Source organism: Homo sapiens, chromosome 11, assembly GCF_000001405.40.
Source record: "Homo sapiens chromosome 11, GRCh38.p14 Primary Assembly".
Taxonomy (NCBI): domain Eukaryota; kingdom Metazoa; phylum Chordata; class Mammalia; order Primates; family Hominidae; genus Homo; species Homo sapiens.
The window spans coordinates 103,140,150-103,159,821 of NC_000011.10; the positions used below are offsets into that span (position 1 = coordinate 103,140,150).

The window sequence follows — 19,672 nt, forward strand, 5'->3', positions numbered from 1 at the left end:
GGTCTTGACTCTTTATCCAATTTGCCAGTCTGTGTCTTTTAATTGTGTCTTTAATATTCACATTTAAAGTTAATATTGTTATGTGTGAATTTGATCCTGTCATTGTGATGTTAGCTGGTTATTTTGCTCGTTAGTTGATGCAGTTTCTTCCTAGGCTCGATGGTCTTTACATTTTGGCATGATTTTGCAGCGGCTGGTACCAGTTGTTCCTTTCCATGTTGAGTGCTTCCTTCAGGAACTCTTTTAGGGCAGGCCTGGTGGTGACAAAATCTCTCAGCATTTGCTTGTCTGTAAAGTATTTTATTTCTCCTTCACTTATGAAGCTTAGTTTGGCTGGATATGAAATTCTGGGTTGAAACTTCTTTTCTTTAGAATGTTGAATATTGGCCCCCACTCTCTTCTGGCTTGTAGAGTTTCTGCTGAGAGATCCCCTGTTAGTCTGATGGGCTTCCCTTTGTGGGTAACCTGACCTTTCTCTCTGGCTGCCCTTTTTTCCTTCATTTCAACTTTGGTGAATCTGACAATTATGTGTCTTGGAGTTGCTCTTCTCGAGGAGTATCTTTGTGACATTCTCTGTATTTCCTGAATCTGAATGTTGGCCTGCCTTGCTAGATTGGGGAAGTTCTCCTGGATAATATCCTGCAGAATGTTTTCCAACTTGGTTCCATTCTCCCCGTCACTTTCAGGTACACCCATCAGACGTAGATTTGGTCTTTTCACATAGTCCCATGTTTCTTGGGGGCTTTGCTCATTTCTTTTTATTCTTTTTTTCTCTAAACTTCCCTTCTCGGTTCATTTCATTCATTTCATCTTCCATTGCTGGTACCCTTTCTTCCAGTTGATCGCATCGGCTCCTGAGGCTTCTGCATTCTTCACGTAGTTCTCGAGTCTTGGCTTTCAGCTCCATCAGCTCCTTTAAGCACTTCTCTGTACTGGTTATTCTAGTTATACATTCATCTAAATTTTTTTCAAAGTTTTTAACTTCTTTGCCTTTGGTTTGAATATCCTCCTGTAGCTCAGAGTAATTTGATCGTCTGAAGCCTTCTTCTCTCAACTCGTCAAAGTCATTCTCCGTCCAGCTTTGTTCCGTTACTGGTGAGGAACTGCATTCCTTTGGAGGAGGAGTGGCACTCTGCTTTTTAGAGTTTCCAGTTTTTCTGCTCTGTTTTTTTCCCCATGTGGTTTTATCTACTTTTGGTCTTCAATGATGGTGATGTACAGATGGGTTTTTGGTGTGGATGTCCTTTCTGTTTGTTAGTTTTCCTTCTACCAGACAGGACCCTCAACTGTAGGTCTGTTGGAGTTTGTTAGAGGTCCACTCCAGACCCTGTTTGCCTGGGTATCAGCAGCGGTGGCTACAGAACAGCAGATTTTCGTGAACCACGAATGCTGCTGTCTGATCCTTCCTCTGGAAGTTTTGTCTCAGAGGAGTACCCGGCCGTCTGAGGTGTCAGTCTGCCCCTACTGGGGGGTGCCTCCCAGTTAGGCTGCTCAGGGGTCAGGGGTCAGGGGTCAGGGACCCACTTGAGGAGGCAGTCTGCCCGTTCTCAGATCTCCAGCTGCATGCTGGGAGAACTATTGCTCTCTTCAAAGCTGTCAGTGACATTTAATTCTGCAGAGGTTACTGCTGTCTTTTTGTTGTCTGTGCCCTGCCCCCAGAGGTGGAGCCTACAGAGGCAGGCAGGCCTCCTTGAGCTGTGGTGGGCTCCACCCAGTTCGAGCTTCCCACCTGCTTTGTTTACCTAAGCAAGCCTGGGCAATGGCGGGTGCCCCTCCCACAGCCTCGCTGCCACCTTGCAGTTTGATCTCAGACTGCTGTGCTAGCAGTCAGCGAGACTCCATGGGCATAGGACCCTCCCAGCCATGTGCAGGATATAATCTCCTGGTGTGCCATTTTTGAGGCCCATTGGAAAAGTGTAGTATTAGGGTGGGATTGACCCGATTTTCCAGGTGCCGTCTGTCACCCCTTTCTTTGACTAGGAAAGGGAACTCCCTGACTCCTTGCACTTCGCGAGTGAGGCAATGCCTCGCCCTGCTTCGGCTCACGCACGATGCGCTGCACCCACTGTCCTGTGCCCACTGTCTGGCACTCCCTAGTGAGATGTACCTGGTACCTCAGATGGAAATGCAGAAATCACCTGTCTTCTGCGTCGCCCACGCTGGGAACTGTAGATGGGAGCTGTTCCTATTTGGCCATCTTCGCTTTTTATTTTTTAAAATAGTTGTGTCATCTTGGTGGGTTGGGCGTGGTGGCTCATGCCTGTAATCCTGGCACTTTGGGAGGCTGAGGCTAATGGATCATTTGAGGTCAGGAGTTTGAGACCAGCCTCGTCAACATGGCGAAACATCATCTTTATTAAAATACAAAAATTATCTGGGCATGGTGGTGGTCACCTGTAATCCCAATTACCATGGAGGCTGAAGTAGGAGAATCATTTAAACCAGGGAGATGGAGGTTTCAGTGAGCTTAGATCGCACCACTGTACTCCAGGCTGGGTGGCAGAGCGAGACTCCATGTCAAGAAAAAAAGAAAATGTGTCAGTTTAGAATGTGATATGGTTCTGTTGTGTCAATTTGAATTCTTCTTCTGAAGCCCTCAAATGTTACTGAAATCAGGGCTATTTAACAGCTTATTTCCGTTTAAGTATATCATCCCAACTAACTTTAAGTATAAACTAATTGTATTTCTCATTTGTATTGATGCTGAGACATATGACTGAAAATTTGACCAGTTTCTTAACTGCCACTGCAATACTTCTGTGTCTTAGATTTCTAGGATGAATCTGGACCCTTTCAGATTTGTAGCCTATAGTGACTCTTGATTTTGCAGAAATGATTCCACCTTTGAAGTTTTGTATTATTTAATTTGAGAAGAGAATCTAAACAGAGGGTTTATATAATTTTCTTTAAAAGTTTATGATCACTGCATTTGCATATTAAATCTCTTTTTTCTGTTTATTCTTTAGGCTGTGCAGTAATGATTATATTACTTAAATTGACACTTGAATACCTCATATTTTCCTCTTTTTATTGGTTTTAATAGTTGAATCCTATTCTATTATATGTTAACATATTGGTTCTGTGTCTTTAATAATACATTTTTTCTTTCTTTAAATAGGAATGGATTGTAATTGGGCAAGTTGATATGGAAGCTCTGGTGGAAAAGCATCTTTTTACTGTACATGATTGGGAGAAAAATTTTAAAGCATTAAAAATAAAGGGGAAAGAAGTAGAACGACTTCCAAGGTATTGGAGGTTAATGTAGTACTTACGTACCATAATAATTTTTTGACATGGACAGTAAGGGAGCTCTCTACTTAGTGGCATTGAAGTCACATCAGCTTCTTGCCTCCTCCAGATCTCATTTATGACACTTGAGTATCATCTAGGTAGGGCATTACAGATAATAAAACAAGTTTTCCTTCTAGAAGCTCTGCTGGCGGAGACCTATTTAGGTAAAATAGACTGAAGAAAGAGGCTTCTATCTTCATCTGGTATGAAGAGCTATGTTTGATATGCATTGGCACAATCTCAGTATGGTTAGAAGCTACTGGTGAGAGCATACTAGACAATATAAAGCTAGTGACATTTCACTCTGCTTTTGTACTGCTCTGCTTCCTTTCAAGATGTCCTGGAAGGCACACAACATAGTGCTGCATCTAGATATTGCCCTAAATGTGGACAAAAGCCTCTGAGGGGCAACTCAGCTACTTGAGAATATAGTCTCCTTGTATCTAAAATACTCACCACTAGAACCACTCTTAGTAATAAGTTCCATGAAAGGCCTTGTGTAATCATGCATATGTCACCTCTAAAGGATAATATCACTTTTATTAATTTATGTTTTCATTATTTCAATAAATACTTAGTGCACATTTATAAAATGCAAAACTTTGTGCTTTAGGAGTACAAAGAGGAAGAAGACAGAGGACCTAAGATGAATTGCTTATTCTCTGGTAGTGCAATAAGACAAATATATTTGATGATTAAGTCAAGTACACACAGGGGTTAAGTAAGTGGGCTCTGGAGTTAGGCAGCTGTTACCAGCTGTATGACTGACAGTCATTGAAATTGTGAACCTAAATTTCTTTAGCTTTAAAATATTAGCAACAATAGTTAGTAATCTCATAGTGTTTTGAGATAAGTAAGTGTTTCCATATAAGTAACTGGCACAGGTTATATTTTCAATAAATGTTAGTTACTTTTAATTGTGATTAGTATCAAGTGGAATAGTCTATATTCCATATTAAAACTGAACTAAAACTATGGGGATTCAGAGGATGATGACATCCCCTCTGTCTGGGGCAAAATCAAGGAAAATCTTTGTTAGGATAGTAACACTGGAACTAGGATTTTGACAGGTGCAAATGAAAATGGGAGGGCAAAAAAGAACCTCTTAGCAACAGGAATTGTGTGCTGAAAATATGAAGTTGGTTAATTGAAATTGTTATTAGAGTTAATGTTTTATTAGAGACTAGAGGGAGATGATCCTGGAAAGGTGTAGATAAGGTATAGATCTGGGAGTCTTACATTCAAAAATAGAGAATTTGGATTTTATTCATTTTGGGATGATTAGCTTTTAAAGGGTTCTAAACAGGAGTGTGTCAGTACCAAAGCTGTTCGTTAGGAAATTTAATCTGGAAACACAGATATACGGTGGGATAAAGAGATCCTGGAGGCATACTGGCTAGTCTGTCAGTCATCCAGAAGACCAGTAATAATAATGATAATTAGTTATTTTTTTTTTTTGAGACAGAGTCTTGCTGTGTCACCCAGGCTGGAGTGTAGTGGCATGATATATGCTCACTGCAACCTCCACCTCTTGGGTTTAAGTGATTCCCCTGCCTCAGCCTCCTGAGTAGCTGGGACTACAGGCACGTGCCACCACGCCTGGCTAATTTTTTGTATTTTTAGTAGAGGTGGGGTTTATTATGTTGGCCAGGCTGGTCTCCAACTCTTGACCTCAGGTGATCTGCCCACCTTGGCCTCCCAGAGTGCTGGGATTACAGGCATGAACCACCATGCCCGGCCATAATAATTAATTGAATTATCTTGTTGGAACTCAAAATGAGGAGGAGGAAATAGTATGAGGAATTAAGTTTTATTTATTGGAGGAAGATGAGGGATTAGGAATAGGAAGAGACAAATGACTTGAGGGTTTGAGCGTGGGTGATTTGGATACTGGTAGGACCATTAATATTAGTTTAAAGTAAGGAAAAGATAGTGCTTTTGTAGTGCTTGCACATGGGGTTTTTCTTCTCTGTTGGGCCTTGCCTTTGATCCCAATCTTGCCCATCTTCTTTGACTTAATGCTGTCACCTGACTGCCTAAGAACCTCTACTGCTTCCTCTACTATTTTTTTGTCCCTTACTATAGATAGCTTTCCTATTTATGATCCTTGCCAAAAGAAAAAAAAATAAAAACAACAATGCCTATCCCACACTGTATTTTTCATTTTGTCATTTCTTGCTAACAAATTAACATGTATTCATCTAAGTGAATACATACATATGCACATACAAACATACACATTTATTTCATCGGTACTTTTTGGAAATGCTGTAAGATTAGAAAAGCTATGTTCTAGTGATGTATTTTAGATAGTATCATAAGAAAATCATTTTTGAATATGCATCTTTGATATATAATGAGTCATCTTCCATTTCTATCTATGGCTGAACAGAATCTCAGTTTCATATTGTGAATATTTTCAAATGAAAGATGAATGTTAGCCTTGTCCACAGCACTCCGTAGTTAGTGAGTAAAACTTCTTTGCTGTAATTAGATCACTTTATGTTAATTCATTAGCAAAATACAGTATAATATAACCTTTTAGGTTTACCAAAATCACATATCTTCATGTATCAAGTATCATAAATCATGAGTCTTTACGTGTCAGGATTTCAGAAATTTTATAACTTCATGTGTCAAGAAAATTGGCTGTTATATATAGCTTTTGGTTGTTAAGAACTGTAGTTTAAACTTATCCAGCTAGTAGGTGATTGAGAATAAATAAGTAAAACTTTAAAAGAAAATTATATTTTCAAATAAAATGGTATGTAATTAAAACATATAATTTGCCTCTTAAGGATCTCACCTGGCTCTATGCTTTAAGAAAGGCAAATAGCTTTCCGAATAACCTTTTTGACCAAAGTTTTCAGATTTGTTTTAACTTTGTATAATTTAAGATAAATATGAGATTTTCCTCAGATGACTGAGTCTGGATCAGCTTCTCTTTGGTTAGGACATTACAATTTGCGTTGGGGTACAATGGAAATAATTACTCATTTAAAAACTTTATACTTGTTTTCTGATTATTAAAATAGTACATTTGTTTTATAAATTGTTTTAAATGTAGTGAAGTACAGAGACAATTCCTGTTAATATTTGATGTTTTGGACATATTAATACACTTATAAAATGTAGATTATATTATATCCTGCTATTTGTTTTTTTGTTTGTTTATTTTTTGAGACTGAATCTCACTCTGTCACCCATGCTGGAGTGCAGTAGTGTGATCTCGGCTTACTGCAACCCCTGCCTTCTGGGTTCAAGCAATTCTCCTACCTCAGCCTCCTGAGTAGCTGGGATTACAGGCGTGCGCCACCATGCCTGGCTAATTTTTATATTTTTAGTAGAGACAGGGGTCTCACCATGTGGGCCAGGCTGGTTTTGAACTCCTGACCTCAGGCGATCCACCTGCTTCTGCCTCCCAAAGTGCTAGGATTACAGGCCACTGTGCCTGGCCTATTCTGCTATTTTTATGGAATACTATTTCATCGGTATTTTTCCATGTTATCATCTGCACATCAAAAATGTGATTTTTAATTATAGGTATATATAAAAATTTATTTTGCCATTTCTATATTTATCTTGTTTCAAACTTTTCACTATTATAGTTAGTGCTTTCATGAAAATGCTTGTGTATAAATCTTGGAGCCTGCCTTGAAATTTGTCTTAGGATAAATTCTAAAGGTAGAGTTGTTAAGACAAAGGATATGCCAGTTTAAAATTATTTGACGTGTACATTGCTCTTTACAAAGATTGCATTGTTTTATATTCTAACAGTTCTGGGAATTCTGTTTGCCCACAAAATTGAAGATTCAAAGTAACCATTCATTACATTTTTTTTCAATTTGATAAGTGTAAAATGGTGTCTTATCGTTTTATTGTTTTAGTGCTTTAATAATCTAAATTCACTTTCTATCTACATTTAATTTTGCCTTATTTTTATTGTTTGTATTTTGGCTACAGGATAGTAAATTTATTTTATAAATATTTAAATAGGTGTGTTACATGCTGTGACAAGAGAAGCTCATTAATATTTAAATATATTCTTTTGACACTTTACTAATTCATAACATACCACCTTTTTTTGAAGCTGATATGCTGGATGATTAAACTTCTAGTATTGTAACAAAATTATTGCTCAATGAAAAACTTCAAAATAGTATGTATAAGGCATTTTTGCTAAATTAAATCTAAATGTGCTTAAAGATCACCATATTACTGCTGACATACATTTTTAAGTGTATTACATGAAATCATTATAATATTATATGAGACTCTTTTCCTCTAATTAGTCTTTTCCATGTCAAAATATGTCCATTGACATTTTTCAGTGCTGTCAAGGTAGATTGTTTAAATATTAATTGCAACCCTGTGAAGACTGTGATTGATGATCTCATCCAGAAGTTATTTGATCTGCTTGTTCTTTCTTTGAAGAAGTCCATACAGGGTAAATACACATTTTAATTTTTATTTTTACTTAATTTGATATGTAGAAGCATGTACTTTGATAGTTATAAAATGTGAATTTCAATGATCATTAAAAACCAAAACTGAACTAATTTAAAAAAAGCAGGAAAAGTCCATATTCAATCATTAGGAGGTCTAATGAAGACATCTTTATTATTTGCAGTCTGAGCTAGTATTAGATTGTTGCATATGTAGCTGAGAAAGGTAGATAATTCTGATATAATGTATTTCTGCTTATCTCCTCAAATGACAAAGTATTTTTCAAAATACCACAGTTTCTTCTTTTTCTTTAAAACTGAGATGTTTTAGTATGTTGTATAAAAGACGAAAAATGCAGTAATGCATTTTAAGCTTTTCTTAAAATTTTTAAATACAACGTGAAACAACTAAACTTTCATGGGAAGAAATTTCTTTGCTTATTCCACATCTTGAAATTTTGTTTTATGAAAGCAAATGATAATTTAGAACTTATTGTATTCCATGTACTGATTACTTCTACCACCCCTTGATTTAGAAATTATGTAACTTAGTATTTTTGATGGTAATAATTAACATTTCTTGTATTTCAATGTTACCACTCAGCTCATTTACATGAAATTGATACATTTGTTACTGAGGCTATGGAAGTCTTAACAATTATGCCCCAGTCTGTGGAAGAAATTGGTGATGCAAATCTACAATATAGTAAGTTACAAGAACGGAAGCCAGAGGTGAGAATCACAAAGTAAAATTATTATTATTACTTTTTACTGCATGGAAAATGTTTAAATTAGGTAATTTTATGTCATTATTTACAAATATATAATCTCAACATTATAAGGAGGTCCACAATAGTCTGGCTTACCTGGTTAGCTCATGATTAGACTCTTGGCTGGGCCTGGTGGCTCACGCCTGTAATCTCAGTACTTTGGGAGGCCGAGGCAGGCAGATCACGAGGTTGGGAGTTCAAGACCAGCCTGACCAACATGGTCAAACCCTGTATCTGTTAAAAATACAAAAATTAGCCGGTTGTGGTGGTGGGTGCCTGTAATCCCAGCTATTCAGGAGGCTGAGGCAGGAGAATCTCTTGAACCTGGGAGGCAAAGGTTGCAGTGAGCCAAGATCGTGCCACTGCACTCCAGCCTGGGTGACAGAGCGAGACTCTGTCTCGAAATAAATAAATAAGTAAATAAATAAATAAATAGACTTTCGATGCACTATTGGTGTAATGAAACAGTAATAGTATTGTTTTCAGATCTATTTGCAGTCTATTTTATGATGTGGCATATTAGAGTAAGAGTAAACTTAAATAATTCATACTATTACCTTTAGAGTTATAACTTTAGGATGCAAAAGTATGAAGTTAAGAGCTAAACTAGGAGTACACATATACACATACATACATAATGGAAGAGCTCATAATTAAATACAAAGGAGAATGGTAAAGATTCATAAAAAACTATCCAGAAGGCTAGAGCCCAGAATAGACAAGCCAAAGTTTTATAACATATTATAGAGATTTTAGTTATGTTTGGAGCAAGAAGGAGAAATAATTCAAATTAGTGTACAAACTTATGTGCCCCCACTTAAAATTATAAAGAGAGATTCAAGGTGAATAAAATAACATACCACTGCAGTGGAAAGAATTACAGACTTTTATGTGATAGACTTAAAGGTATTAAAGAGGGTTTAAAGGTGAATAAAATAATGTATCCGTCTAGTAGAAGGAATTAACTAAAATAGGAATGGTTATGAGCTGTGGCAGTTAGCAGAGACATTTGACTGATATGTATGGATCACTTGATGTATTCCAGGCATTGTACTAGGAGTTGGGGATGCAGCTGTGAACATATTCTATTCTCATGGAACATACACGTGTGTGCGTGTGTGTGTGTGTGAGAGAGAGTGAGCAAAAGAGGATTGAGAGAGAGAGAGAGAGGGAGGAGAGAAGTGAGGATGAGTATGCTCAACTAGGGGTTATTACTTAGGGTGGGTGATCATGGGATATCTTCTCAGAAAGATGACATTTGAGCTGAGATCTGAAAGATAAGAAAGAGCCAGCCATTCTGAGATTTGGGGACAGATCATTCCAAAAACAATGAATAGCATGTACAAAGATCTTAAGGTAGAGAAGGAGCTTGGTATGCTTAAGGAACAGATAGATGTAAACAGTATCAAGAGAGTTAATTATTAAAAGAGCATAGTATTCAAGGAAGAGAATGGTATGAGGTGCAATTGGAAAGAGAGGCAAGGGCCAGATTACGAAGATGCTTTTAGAAATTGTAAGAAGTTCGTATTTTATTCTGAGTGTAATAAGAAAGTCTTTAGAGGGCTTTAAGTGGTGGAGTGACACAATGTCTCTGACATTTTGAAGTGATGACTCTAGATGCTCTGTGGAAAATGAATTGGAGGGAGACAATAGTGGTGGACAGGCCAGTTAGTAGGATATTACAATATGATAGACAAGAGATGATGGAAGCTTGTATCATGTAGTGGTAGTGGAGATAGAACTATATCTCCACTGATTGATGATGTATAGGGGTGGGTGTGGTTAGAGGAAGATAAATCAAAATGTCTCTTAGGAGTTTGGCTTGAGCAGCTGGGAAAATATTGGTGCCATTTCCTGAAATAGGGATGACTAGAGGAGCAACTGGAGTTTAGAAGTGGTGGAGACTGAGTTGTCTGGTAGAAATCAAATGAGGATGTGGAATTTAGAGTAAAGGTAAGGACTACAAATACAAATTTTGAAGTCTTCTTTCTATCTATGATACTTAAGCCTTGGGATTGGCTTAGACCAACTGGTAGATAATAAACAAAGGGTGTAAGACCAGGCTTGAACTTTGCAAAATTTAGACTTCAAGCATAGGATGAGGAGCAAAGGACATAAATGGAGTGGGAGGAAAGACAAGAGATTGTAGTGTCACAAAAGCTAAAGGAGAGATTGATGTTGTTTGCTGGGAACAGCAAGCAATTAGGTATTATAAGAGGAAATATGTGAGGTAGGAAGTGACATGAGATAATAAAAGAACTAGGCAGAATCTTCATGTGAGCCATATCAGGGACCTTAGAATCTCATATTCTGTGGGCACTGGGGAGCTGTTGCTGGATTTTATATAGCAAAGTATTATATAATTCTCTTTTGGTATGTCTATTTGTTGGTATGTGGATTTGAGGGGTAGGACTGGAGGTAGGTAGACTAGGAAACTATTGTGATATGTTTTACAGGCTAACTGGAGTTCCGTTCACGTGTAGAAAATTAAAATCCTGAGGTGTCCAATCATAGTTCACTGCAGCCTCAAACTCCTGGGCTCAAGCAGTGTTCCTGCTTCAGCCTCCTCAGTAGCTAGGAGTACAGGTGTGCACCACCATGCCCAGTTAATTTTTAAAATATATTTTTTTAGAGATGCGTTCTCACTATGTTGCTTAGGTTAATCTTAATCCCCTCGCCTCGGCCTCCCAAAGTGCTAGGATTACAGGTGTGAGCTGCCAGGCCTGCCCAATTCAGTTATATTTGAATTTCCTTTGTTGTCTGTTTTATTATATATGCATACTGATATTTAAAAATGTTTAAATGGATTTTATTGCTTTATTGAATAGTAAAAGTACAGATATTAATTATAGGATACTGTTGTTTTACAGAGCTTTAAAAGCCTTAGAGGCAATTCCAGCAGTTTAGCACCCATTGACCTACACCCAAACTGTTTAACAAACTGTTAGCTATATACAACTTAGGGCACTTCAGTTAAAAACCCTGAATGCATGAGCTTAATTTCACTTCTTTAGTTGTCTGTTTCTTAAGTACCTTTTTTCATGACTTTCCTTCTCTATTAAGTCGGATAATTTAGTTAACTTATGCTCTTAGATAATCACTAATTTTAGCTCCTTTAGAAACCTCTTTAGCATTTTCTTGTGAATGGACCATTTATAATAAGAACTTTACTTTGATAAACTGTAGTATTATCTTTATGGATTTCATTTAGTCTCATATTACTACTTTATCTTTTTTAACCTCTGATGTTAGAGTGCCTTAGTTGAATTTGTGTATAGTAAAAAATAACCATCAGAAAGTTTATATCCAGGAATTTTTTTCTGCCAAATCAGAATATATAGGAATTTAACAAACTGTTTAAATGCAAAAATCTTAATTTAAAAAATAAAGTTATGAAACAAAAATTAAAATAAATGAAATCTTAAGAGATTTGATAAAATAGGTTGTTATTCAATTTGTTTTTTTTTTTTTAACCTTTAGATTTTGCCCTTATTTCAAGAAGCTGAAGACAAAAACAGACTTTTACGAACTGTGGCTGGTGGAGGTTTAGAAACAATTAGTAATTTGAAAGCCAAGTGGGATAAATTTGAGTTAATGATGGAAAGTCACCAACTTATGATTAAAGACCAGGTTAGAATCTTTTAATTATTTATTAAAATGGGAACTTTTTTCTTACTTAAGATTTCTTGCTTATCTTTTATTCCTTTATAGCCCAGGTTTATAATAATTTAATGTGGCTGTTGAAATTGACCTCCCTGACTACTTTTATAGTGAAATATATAAATGATGATTGTTTCACATGGTTTTTCTTTACTTCCTATCACACCAAGAAGAAACCAATGTCTTTGAAATGTAACATTATTTGTAGGCCTGTGAATGAATCTGTTGCTTACCTACTATGTATGGCTTATTGCTGAAACTCATGTTTTCTTTAATTACTAAATTTATTAGGATATCAGTTTAACTACTCTAATGGAGACCCCAAAAATTGTAGCTTATGTTTCTGTCTCACATTAGACTATAAGCTGCTATGGTGCCTCTGCTTCATAACTTTGTCTGGGTCCTAGGTTTTGTCAATCTTTTTGTCTACCATCTCTAGCGTATTGTCCAGGATGGGTTATTCAGTTGCTGTGTAGTAGGGTTGGGAGAGAGAAAAGGAGAAAAAGGCAGCATCTGTCTTTTAAAGACACAACCTGGAAGTTGCACATATCTACTGCACTCATATTTTATCAACCAGAAGTTAGCCTTAGGGCCCAGTCCTTAGCTGCATGGGAGACTGGGCAATGCCTTCCTTAATTTAGCAGCTATATACTCAGGTAGAACAATCAGCAGTCATCAAACAAACATTTTAAAATTATCTTACCTTTGTTGTTAGTTGTACTAGGTGCGGTTAACCACATGAACGATTTTTAAATGATTTTATTTGAATGTTATCTCTTGTTATTATAAATTTATGGTCTAATTTATATGTTTGAATTATTTTATTGAACTTGGAATTAATAATTAAAATAACAACCATCCTTTGAAAAGTTGACATTGGTCATTGATATTTTTTCACTTTTAAATAGAAAATATTAGAAAGAAAAGTATGAACCCAAAATGAAATTTTACTCTGCATTAAATTATTTAAATTTTATTGGCTTATAGATTGAAGTGATGAAAGGAAATGTGAAATCACGTCTTCAGATCTATTATCAAGAACTGGAAAAATTTAAAGCTCGTTGGGACCAACTAAAGCCTGGTGATGATGTTATTGAAACTGGCCAACATAATACTCTTGATAAAAGTGCAAAGTTAATAAAAGAGAAAAAAATTGAGTTTGATGATCTTGAAGTCACAAGAAAAAAGCTGGTGTATGTTTTTTCTTTAAAATTGATAGTGCTTATTTTGAAAAAACAATTTATATATCAAGCTAGTAATTTTCTTATGTCTGTTATCTTGATAACTTTCCTCATAAACTTCATCACTTTTTAAACTACAAATAATAAGCATTCATATACTGTTGTCTTAGGAGTCATAGTTGTGTTATATAAGGATATTAAGAGAAAGCAAATTTCAAGAAAGGCCTAGAAGATAGATTTACCTAGAAGTTATATCAGGGTTAGAACTGTCACTTTCTTTGAACTTATCCTATTTAAAAATGAAATATATATAATTTTCAGAAAAATTACTTTTAGTGCCTCTGAGAAAAAAATAAATCTAGCATAATAAGTAATAATAAAAAACTTCAAAGAAAAAAATGAGTTGTTGGCTTATAATAATATAAAGTATTAAATTTGAGCACTGCTTTAGGTTTGTTCTATTTAAGTAGATGCTTTCATAAATGAGTGGAGTGAGTCAATTTTGTTACCATAATTACTAAATGGCATTATACTGATTAGATTAAGGATATCTTATACTCTAGAAGCTTGCCCTTTCAACTGAGAAGAGTATTCTTTTCCCAGATCAATCTGTAGATTTATACAATCTTGAATATTTACATATATATAATATGTATTACGTACATATAAATCTCTCTATATTACCAACTCAGTTTTGACTTCTTTGGAAAAAATGTATATTAATGAATTTATAGAGTTCATATATGAGTAGGTAAAGTAAAATTCTCATAGTAAATAGGTAGTTTCTTAATGTTCTTATTGTAGTTTCTTATTGTTTCTTATTGTATATCTATTAAACATACACAAGTGTGTGTGTACACACATACAAGGATTGCAGTTAAGTAACTTAATGATACTTAACAGTATCAATATTTCTGTTTTTAAAATTTAATATTTCAATATTTGTTTCTATAGTGATGATTGCCATCATTTTAGACTGGAAGAGCCTAATTTCTCCCTGGCAAGTAGTATCTCTAAAGATATCGAGAGCTGTGCCCAAATTTGGGCCTTTTATGAAGAGTTTCAACAAGGATTTCAGGAAATGGCCAATGAAGACTGGATCACTTTTCGGTTTGATTCAAAAACAATATTTAGACTAATAATTTGGTTGTTTTATTTTTGGATGTAATCTTTGCAATGTGTTTTTGGTATTTTATAGGACTAAGACATACCTGTTTGAGGAATTTTTGATGAACTGGCATGACAGATTAAGGAAGGTTGAAGAACATTCAGTGATGACAGTGAAATTACAATCAGAGGTTGACAAATATAAAGTAAGATTGTTTTATTATTTTGCCAATTAAAAACAATGTTTGGAGCTTTCATCTTATGTAGTGACTGAACTATATAATTTTACTTTATATGTTTTTCAATTAAATTATTCCGTTTGATGAAGAAAATAGGAAATACAGAGTAAACCATAGAAATTATTGATATTTCTACTACCAATGAGAAAGAAGTTATAAGAAATTTATGTTAAAGTTAAAAAACAGAGTGCTTATACATTCCAGTCCATCATGGGTCCTATCCTATAATAATAAAAATAGAAATAGTCTATGCCATGTTTTAAAATATATTAAACTACAAAGGGTAATTTGTGTGTGTCCATGGCAACATTTAATCAAAAGCTTTATACAATTCTGTTTAAGAATATGATTTTAAGATTATTAAACAAGAAAATGGAATAATTAAAATTTTGGTAACTAATAAGCATAAAAGTAAATACTAATTTGCATTTTGCTAATATATGTATATGTGTATACATATGACTTTTTCTTTTTTTTTTTTGTAACAGATCGTAATTCCTATCTTGAAATATGTGAGAGGGGAGCATCTTTCTCCAGATCACTGGCTTGACCTTTTTCGTCTCCTTGGACTTCCTAGGGGGACTAGTCTAGAGAAACTACTGTTTGGTGATTTGCTCAGAGTAGCTGATACAATTGTAGCCAAAGCTGCCGACCTTAAAGTATGAATCACTTTTATAAATATCCCATAAGTCTGGCCTTTTTTAATATACAATATTGCTTCATATTTTGTTTAAATACAAAAAAAGTCTTCCTTTAAGGGAATCAGCTTTCATCAAAAAGTAAACAAACACAAATCATTTTACATAAAATACATAAAAAATTATGTGATATGTTACACATAAAAGCTAGAGGATACACAAATCCAGAGAGCTAAGCCAAGAATCAGTTTGCTAATCACTTTTAGAAAAGCTCTCAGGTAAAAGTAAAAGTTGTCACAATTTATTACAAGTGACAGACTTTTAGTGTTGCATTCTGGCCGTTCAAAATTATAAGGACTCTTGATATCAAATTGTTTTATTTCCTATCCCAGAAATAAACCTCTGTGTTTGTTAATAACCCTGGAATGTTTTTAAATAATCTTGAGAAGTTATGAAGCATGACTGTTGCAGAAGATAACTCTAGTGGATTGTTAATCATTTTAGATGTATCAGAATCTACAATAAGATTACAGTATAATTTCTGAATTTCTTTTGTTCCAAATATTGGCCTTTTGGTCTGTAAAACTTTAAATAAACCAAACTAGTTTTGTCTTTTGTGATGGATGCTTTAATTTTTTGCTTTTCTTTTAGAGAGGTAAAAAGCATAAGGCAGAACTTTGTATATATTTTGACCATGTGAACCAGGATACTTAGTATCTTACATGCTTTGATAAAATAACCAGTAATTTTCTTGAGTTGCATGTAAAATAGAGCCACTTAACTTTTTTTTTTTTGCCTTATGGTGAAAAGCCAGATAAAATATATTTTTCATAAAATACTTTTCTATTAATTACTTATGTGAAAATTAATGTTGAAGTAATAAACATGGATATTTTGTGTTAAATAGGATTTAAATAGTCGGGCACAAGGTGAAGTTACAATCAGAGAAGCTTTACGTGAACTTGATCTTTGGGGAGTTGGAGCAGTGTTTACATTAATTGATTATGAAGACAGCCAAAGTCGAACTATGAAGCTGATTAAAGACTGGAAAGATATAGTAAATCAGGTTGGAGATAATAGATGCCTTCTCCAATCCTTAAAGGATTCTCCTTATTATAAAGGATTTGAAGATAAAGTATCAATTTGGGAAAGAAAACTTGCAGAGTTAGATGAATACCTGCAGAATTTAAATCATATTCAGAGAAAGTGGGTGTATTTGGAACCCATTTTCGGCCGTGGAGCATTGCCAAAAGAACAGACACGCTTCAACAGAGTTGATGAAGATTTTAGGTCAGTACAATGATGTAAGACATAGACACATATGGTATTTTTTTTAAATTAATTCATATTGTGAAGTGCTTAATACAGGCAAATTACTTTTACATGATTGGTATCCTCTGTGTATTCAAATTCTTTCCTAGTGGATCCTTTTGAGAAGCTATTCTCTCATTCAAGCATTTACTTCTTGAACCATTATGGTGTGGTCTCTGTTATTACCACTCTACCTAATAATACATACTTCATAAAATCACTAATTACTTTCTCTTTTAAATTCAAAAGGCATTTTCAATTTTTATTTTACTTTATCTCTCATTAGTATTTAATAGAGTTGAGCATTTCTTCTTTCTTAGAAAGTCTCTTCCATTGGCTTCTGTGATTTCGTCCTCTCTTGGTTTTCTGACTGTCTCTCTAGTTCAACACATAGTTCCTAGTCCTTAGCTGTCTCCAAATCTTTAGATGTAGTCATTCTCCAGGCCTCAGCCTTCGATTTTTTTCTCACTGTATTCTCAGGTAATCTTAACCACTGCCAGCATCAGTTCTCTTTTATATGCTGAGGTCTCCTCAACTTACATGTACAGCCCATATTTCTCTTCTGAGCTCCAAATCTACCAAACATGCTCAAATAGTAGGCTAAAACTGAATCCATGAGCTTAATTTACCAGTTCCTTTCCAACAAATCTTTCTTCTTTCTGATTCCTATTTCAATAAATGGCCCAACCTAATTGCTGAAAGCAGAGACATGATGGATAACTTTGATATCTCCCTCTTCCTCCACTTTTACATACATTAAGTTGCCAAATTTTGTTGATTCTAACCTGCTTAGTATATCTTGAGCCAAATACCTGTACAGAAGTATATCTGTACTTCTATTCTAATGTTCTGTATCTCTTACTTGGACTACGCACATTAACCTTCTGACTTGCTCTTGTATAATATAAGTTTTTCACACAACAGCCAGAGTAATTGTTTAAAAATGCAGGTTCAGCACTTTCTTTTACTCCTGTAAATAAAACTTTAAAATAGTTTCCCATTGTGCTAGGGATAAAGCATGATCTGCTCCTTGTTCATTTCTCTATCCTTTTCTTGTGCTGCTCTCCATTTTGCTTTAGTGACTCTAGCTTTTAGTTTCTCGGTCATACCTATCTTCTTCCCAGAATCTTTGCCAGAAACGTCTTCTACTCACTCACTTTTTCATTTTATTCTTCATCTGCATATCAATTTAAATTACTTCCTTAAAGAAGTCCTAGGTTATGGGTTGCCCTGTTAGCCATTTTAACAATACTTTACTTTTCCTTTTTAACATTTATCACAATTTTATTTAAATATTTCTAGAAATTATTTGATGTCTTTTGCTGTCACTGGACCATTAGCTCTATGAGGTAGGGCTTAAAATTAGCTTAGCAAGGCTGGGCATGGTGGCTCACGCCTGTAATCCCAGCACTTTGGGAGGCCGAGGCGGGCGGATCACGAGGTCAGGAGATCGAGACCATCGTGGCTAACACGGTGAAACCCCGTCTCTACTAAAATATACAAAAAAATTAGCTAGGCGCGGTGGCGGGTGCCTGTATTCCCAGCTACTTGGGAGGCTGAGGCAGGTGAATGTCAGGAACCCAGGAGGCGGAGTTTGCAGTGAGCAGAGATTGCGCCACTGCACTCCAGCCTGGGAGACAGAGCGAGACTCCATCTCAAAAAATAAAAAAATTAGCTTAGCAAATGAAATATATAAGATAATTTAAAATATAAGAAGTTAAAAATGATAGTGTGATATTAATATTTAACATTCCTAGAGGTGTAATACTGTTATAATAGTGTTACCTTTAGTTCATTTTAAGCAGGTAAAAAAAGTCTTAATCTGTTTTTCTTACCCCCCCAAATTGTTAAAGTAGATGTGAAGATACTTTTTTTTCTTTTGTAGATCAATAATGACTGATATCAAGAAAGACAATAGAGTCACAACATTAACTACTCATGCTGGAATAAGAAATTCTCTACTAACAATACTTGATCAGCTTCAAAGATGTCAGAAATCATTAAATGAATTTTTGGAGGCATGTTTTTTAAGAAAAAAATATATAATAAATTGTAAAGTACTTGATATCTTAATTATCTGAAAAAAAGAAAGCTATTTTTTGTTTCTATTTTTATTAGGAAAAACGCTCAGCATTCCCAAGATTTTATTTTATTGGTGATGATGACTTATTAGAAATATTGGGCCAGTCTACCAACCCATCAGTGATTCAGTCTCACCTGAAGAAGCTTTTTGCTGGTAGGATTCAACATTTATTTAACAGATATTTATTGAGTTTCAACTGTCTGCCAGGCCTAATATTATGCTCTTAGGTAGACTACTGAATACAGCAGTCAGTTCATATACCCAAATACAGTTCCTGTACCCAAAGAATGTACAGTTTAATGGGAGAGACAAGGTTGTAAGTTGACAAATATAATACAGTGTGACAATTCTGGTGATTGACATAAGTATGTGGTGCTATAGGTCCATCTGTGAGGGCATTTAGCTCAGTTTTAGGGCATCATGAAGTAAGTGACATCTAGGGCGATATCTGAAGAATGTATAGGCCTTAGTTAGAAAAAGGCAGGCAGGCAGTGGGTATAGGCTGTGCAAAGGCCTGTAGTGAAGGAGAATATGCCTCTTCCTTATAGAGTTTAAGGTGTCCTGAATGACATACAGGTGGAGATACTCCATAGGCAGTTATTGTCAGTGAAGAGACCTAGGTGAGAATGTAGGAGTCATCCATATAGAAATAATAGTAAGCTATGGGAACAGGTGAGATTACTTGGGGGAAAACTGTAATGTCAAATGCTTTGATGTTGTAGAGTCACTTTAATGGGATACTTATTAGTGGCAAATGGAATAGGTTTATTACCAAAATAATGACTATTATTTTCTTAAAATACTTAATTTACTTGGAAAGCGCAAGCAAATGACTTCTTCTATAGAGCAAACAGCTCTATAGAAAAGAGCTGTATTTTTCAAATTAAATTTATGAAGTAAAATAATTTTCATCATTTTAACTAATAATCAAGGATCAGCAAAATATA

The 19,672-nt window shown here is 35.1% G+C and overlaps 1 protein-coding gene across 6 annotated transcripts in view, besides 1 other annotated feature; it reads left to right on the top strand.

The window, feature by feature from the left end:
* Positions 1-19,672, top strand: part of DYNC2H1 (dynein cytoplasmic 2 heavy chain 1) — a 370,438-nt gene that overhangs the window by 30,724 nt on the left and 320,042 nt on the right. For all 6 annotated transcript variants that reach the window (NM_001080463.2, NM_001377.3, XM_017018291.2 and 3 more), the window contains 11 exons: positions 3,119-3,246; positions 7,623-7,738; positions 8,341-8,468; positions 11,987-12,136; positions 13,154-13,359; positions 14,302-14,457; positions 14,546-14,660; positions 15,182-15,352; positions 16,239-16,621; positions 18,528-18,660; positions 18,761-18,878. In NM_001080463.2, coding sequence (NP_001073932.1) covers positions 3,119-3,246; positions 7,623-7,738; positions 8,341-8,468; positions 11,987-12,136; positions 13,154-13,359; positions 14,302-14,457; positions 14,546-14,660; positions 15,182-15,352; positions 16,239-16,621; positions 18,528-18,660; positions 18,761-18,878 — 1,804 coding nt within the window. The remainder of the gene's footprint in view (positions 1-3,118; positions 3,247-7,622; positions 7,739-8,340; positions 8,469-11,986; positions 12,137-13,153; positions 13,360-14,301; positions 14,458-14,545; positions 14,661-15,181; positions 15,353-16,238; positions 16,622-18,527; positions 18,661-18,760; positions 18,879-19,672) is intronic.
* Positions 1,451-1,952: an enhancer, noted in NCBI's record as "H3K4me1 hESC enhancer chr11:103012329-103012830 (GRCh37/hg19 assembly coordinates)". NCBI's record gives its function as "activates a minimal SCP1, AML or CMV promoter by ChIP-STARR-seq in primed H9 embryonic stem cells {active_cell/tissue: H9 hESC(primed)}" and the evidence as "EXISTENCE:reporter gene assay evidence [ECO:0000049][PMID:30033119]".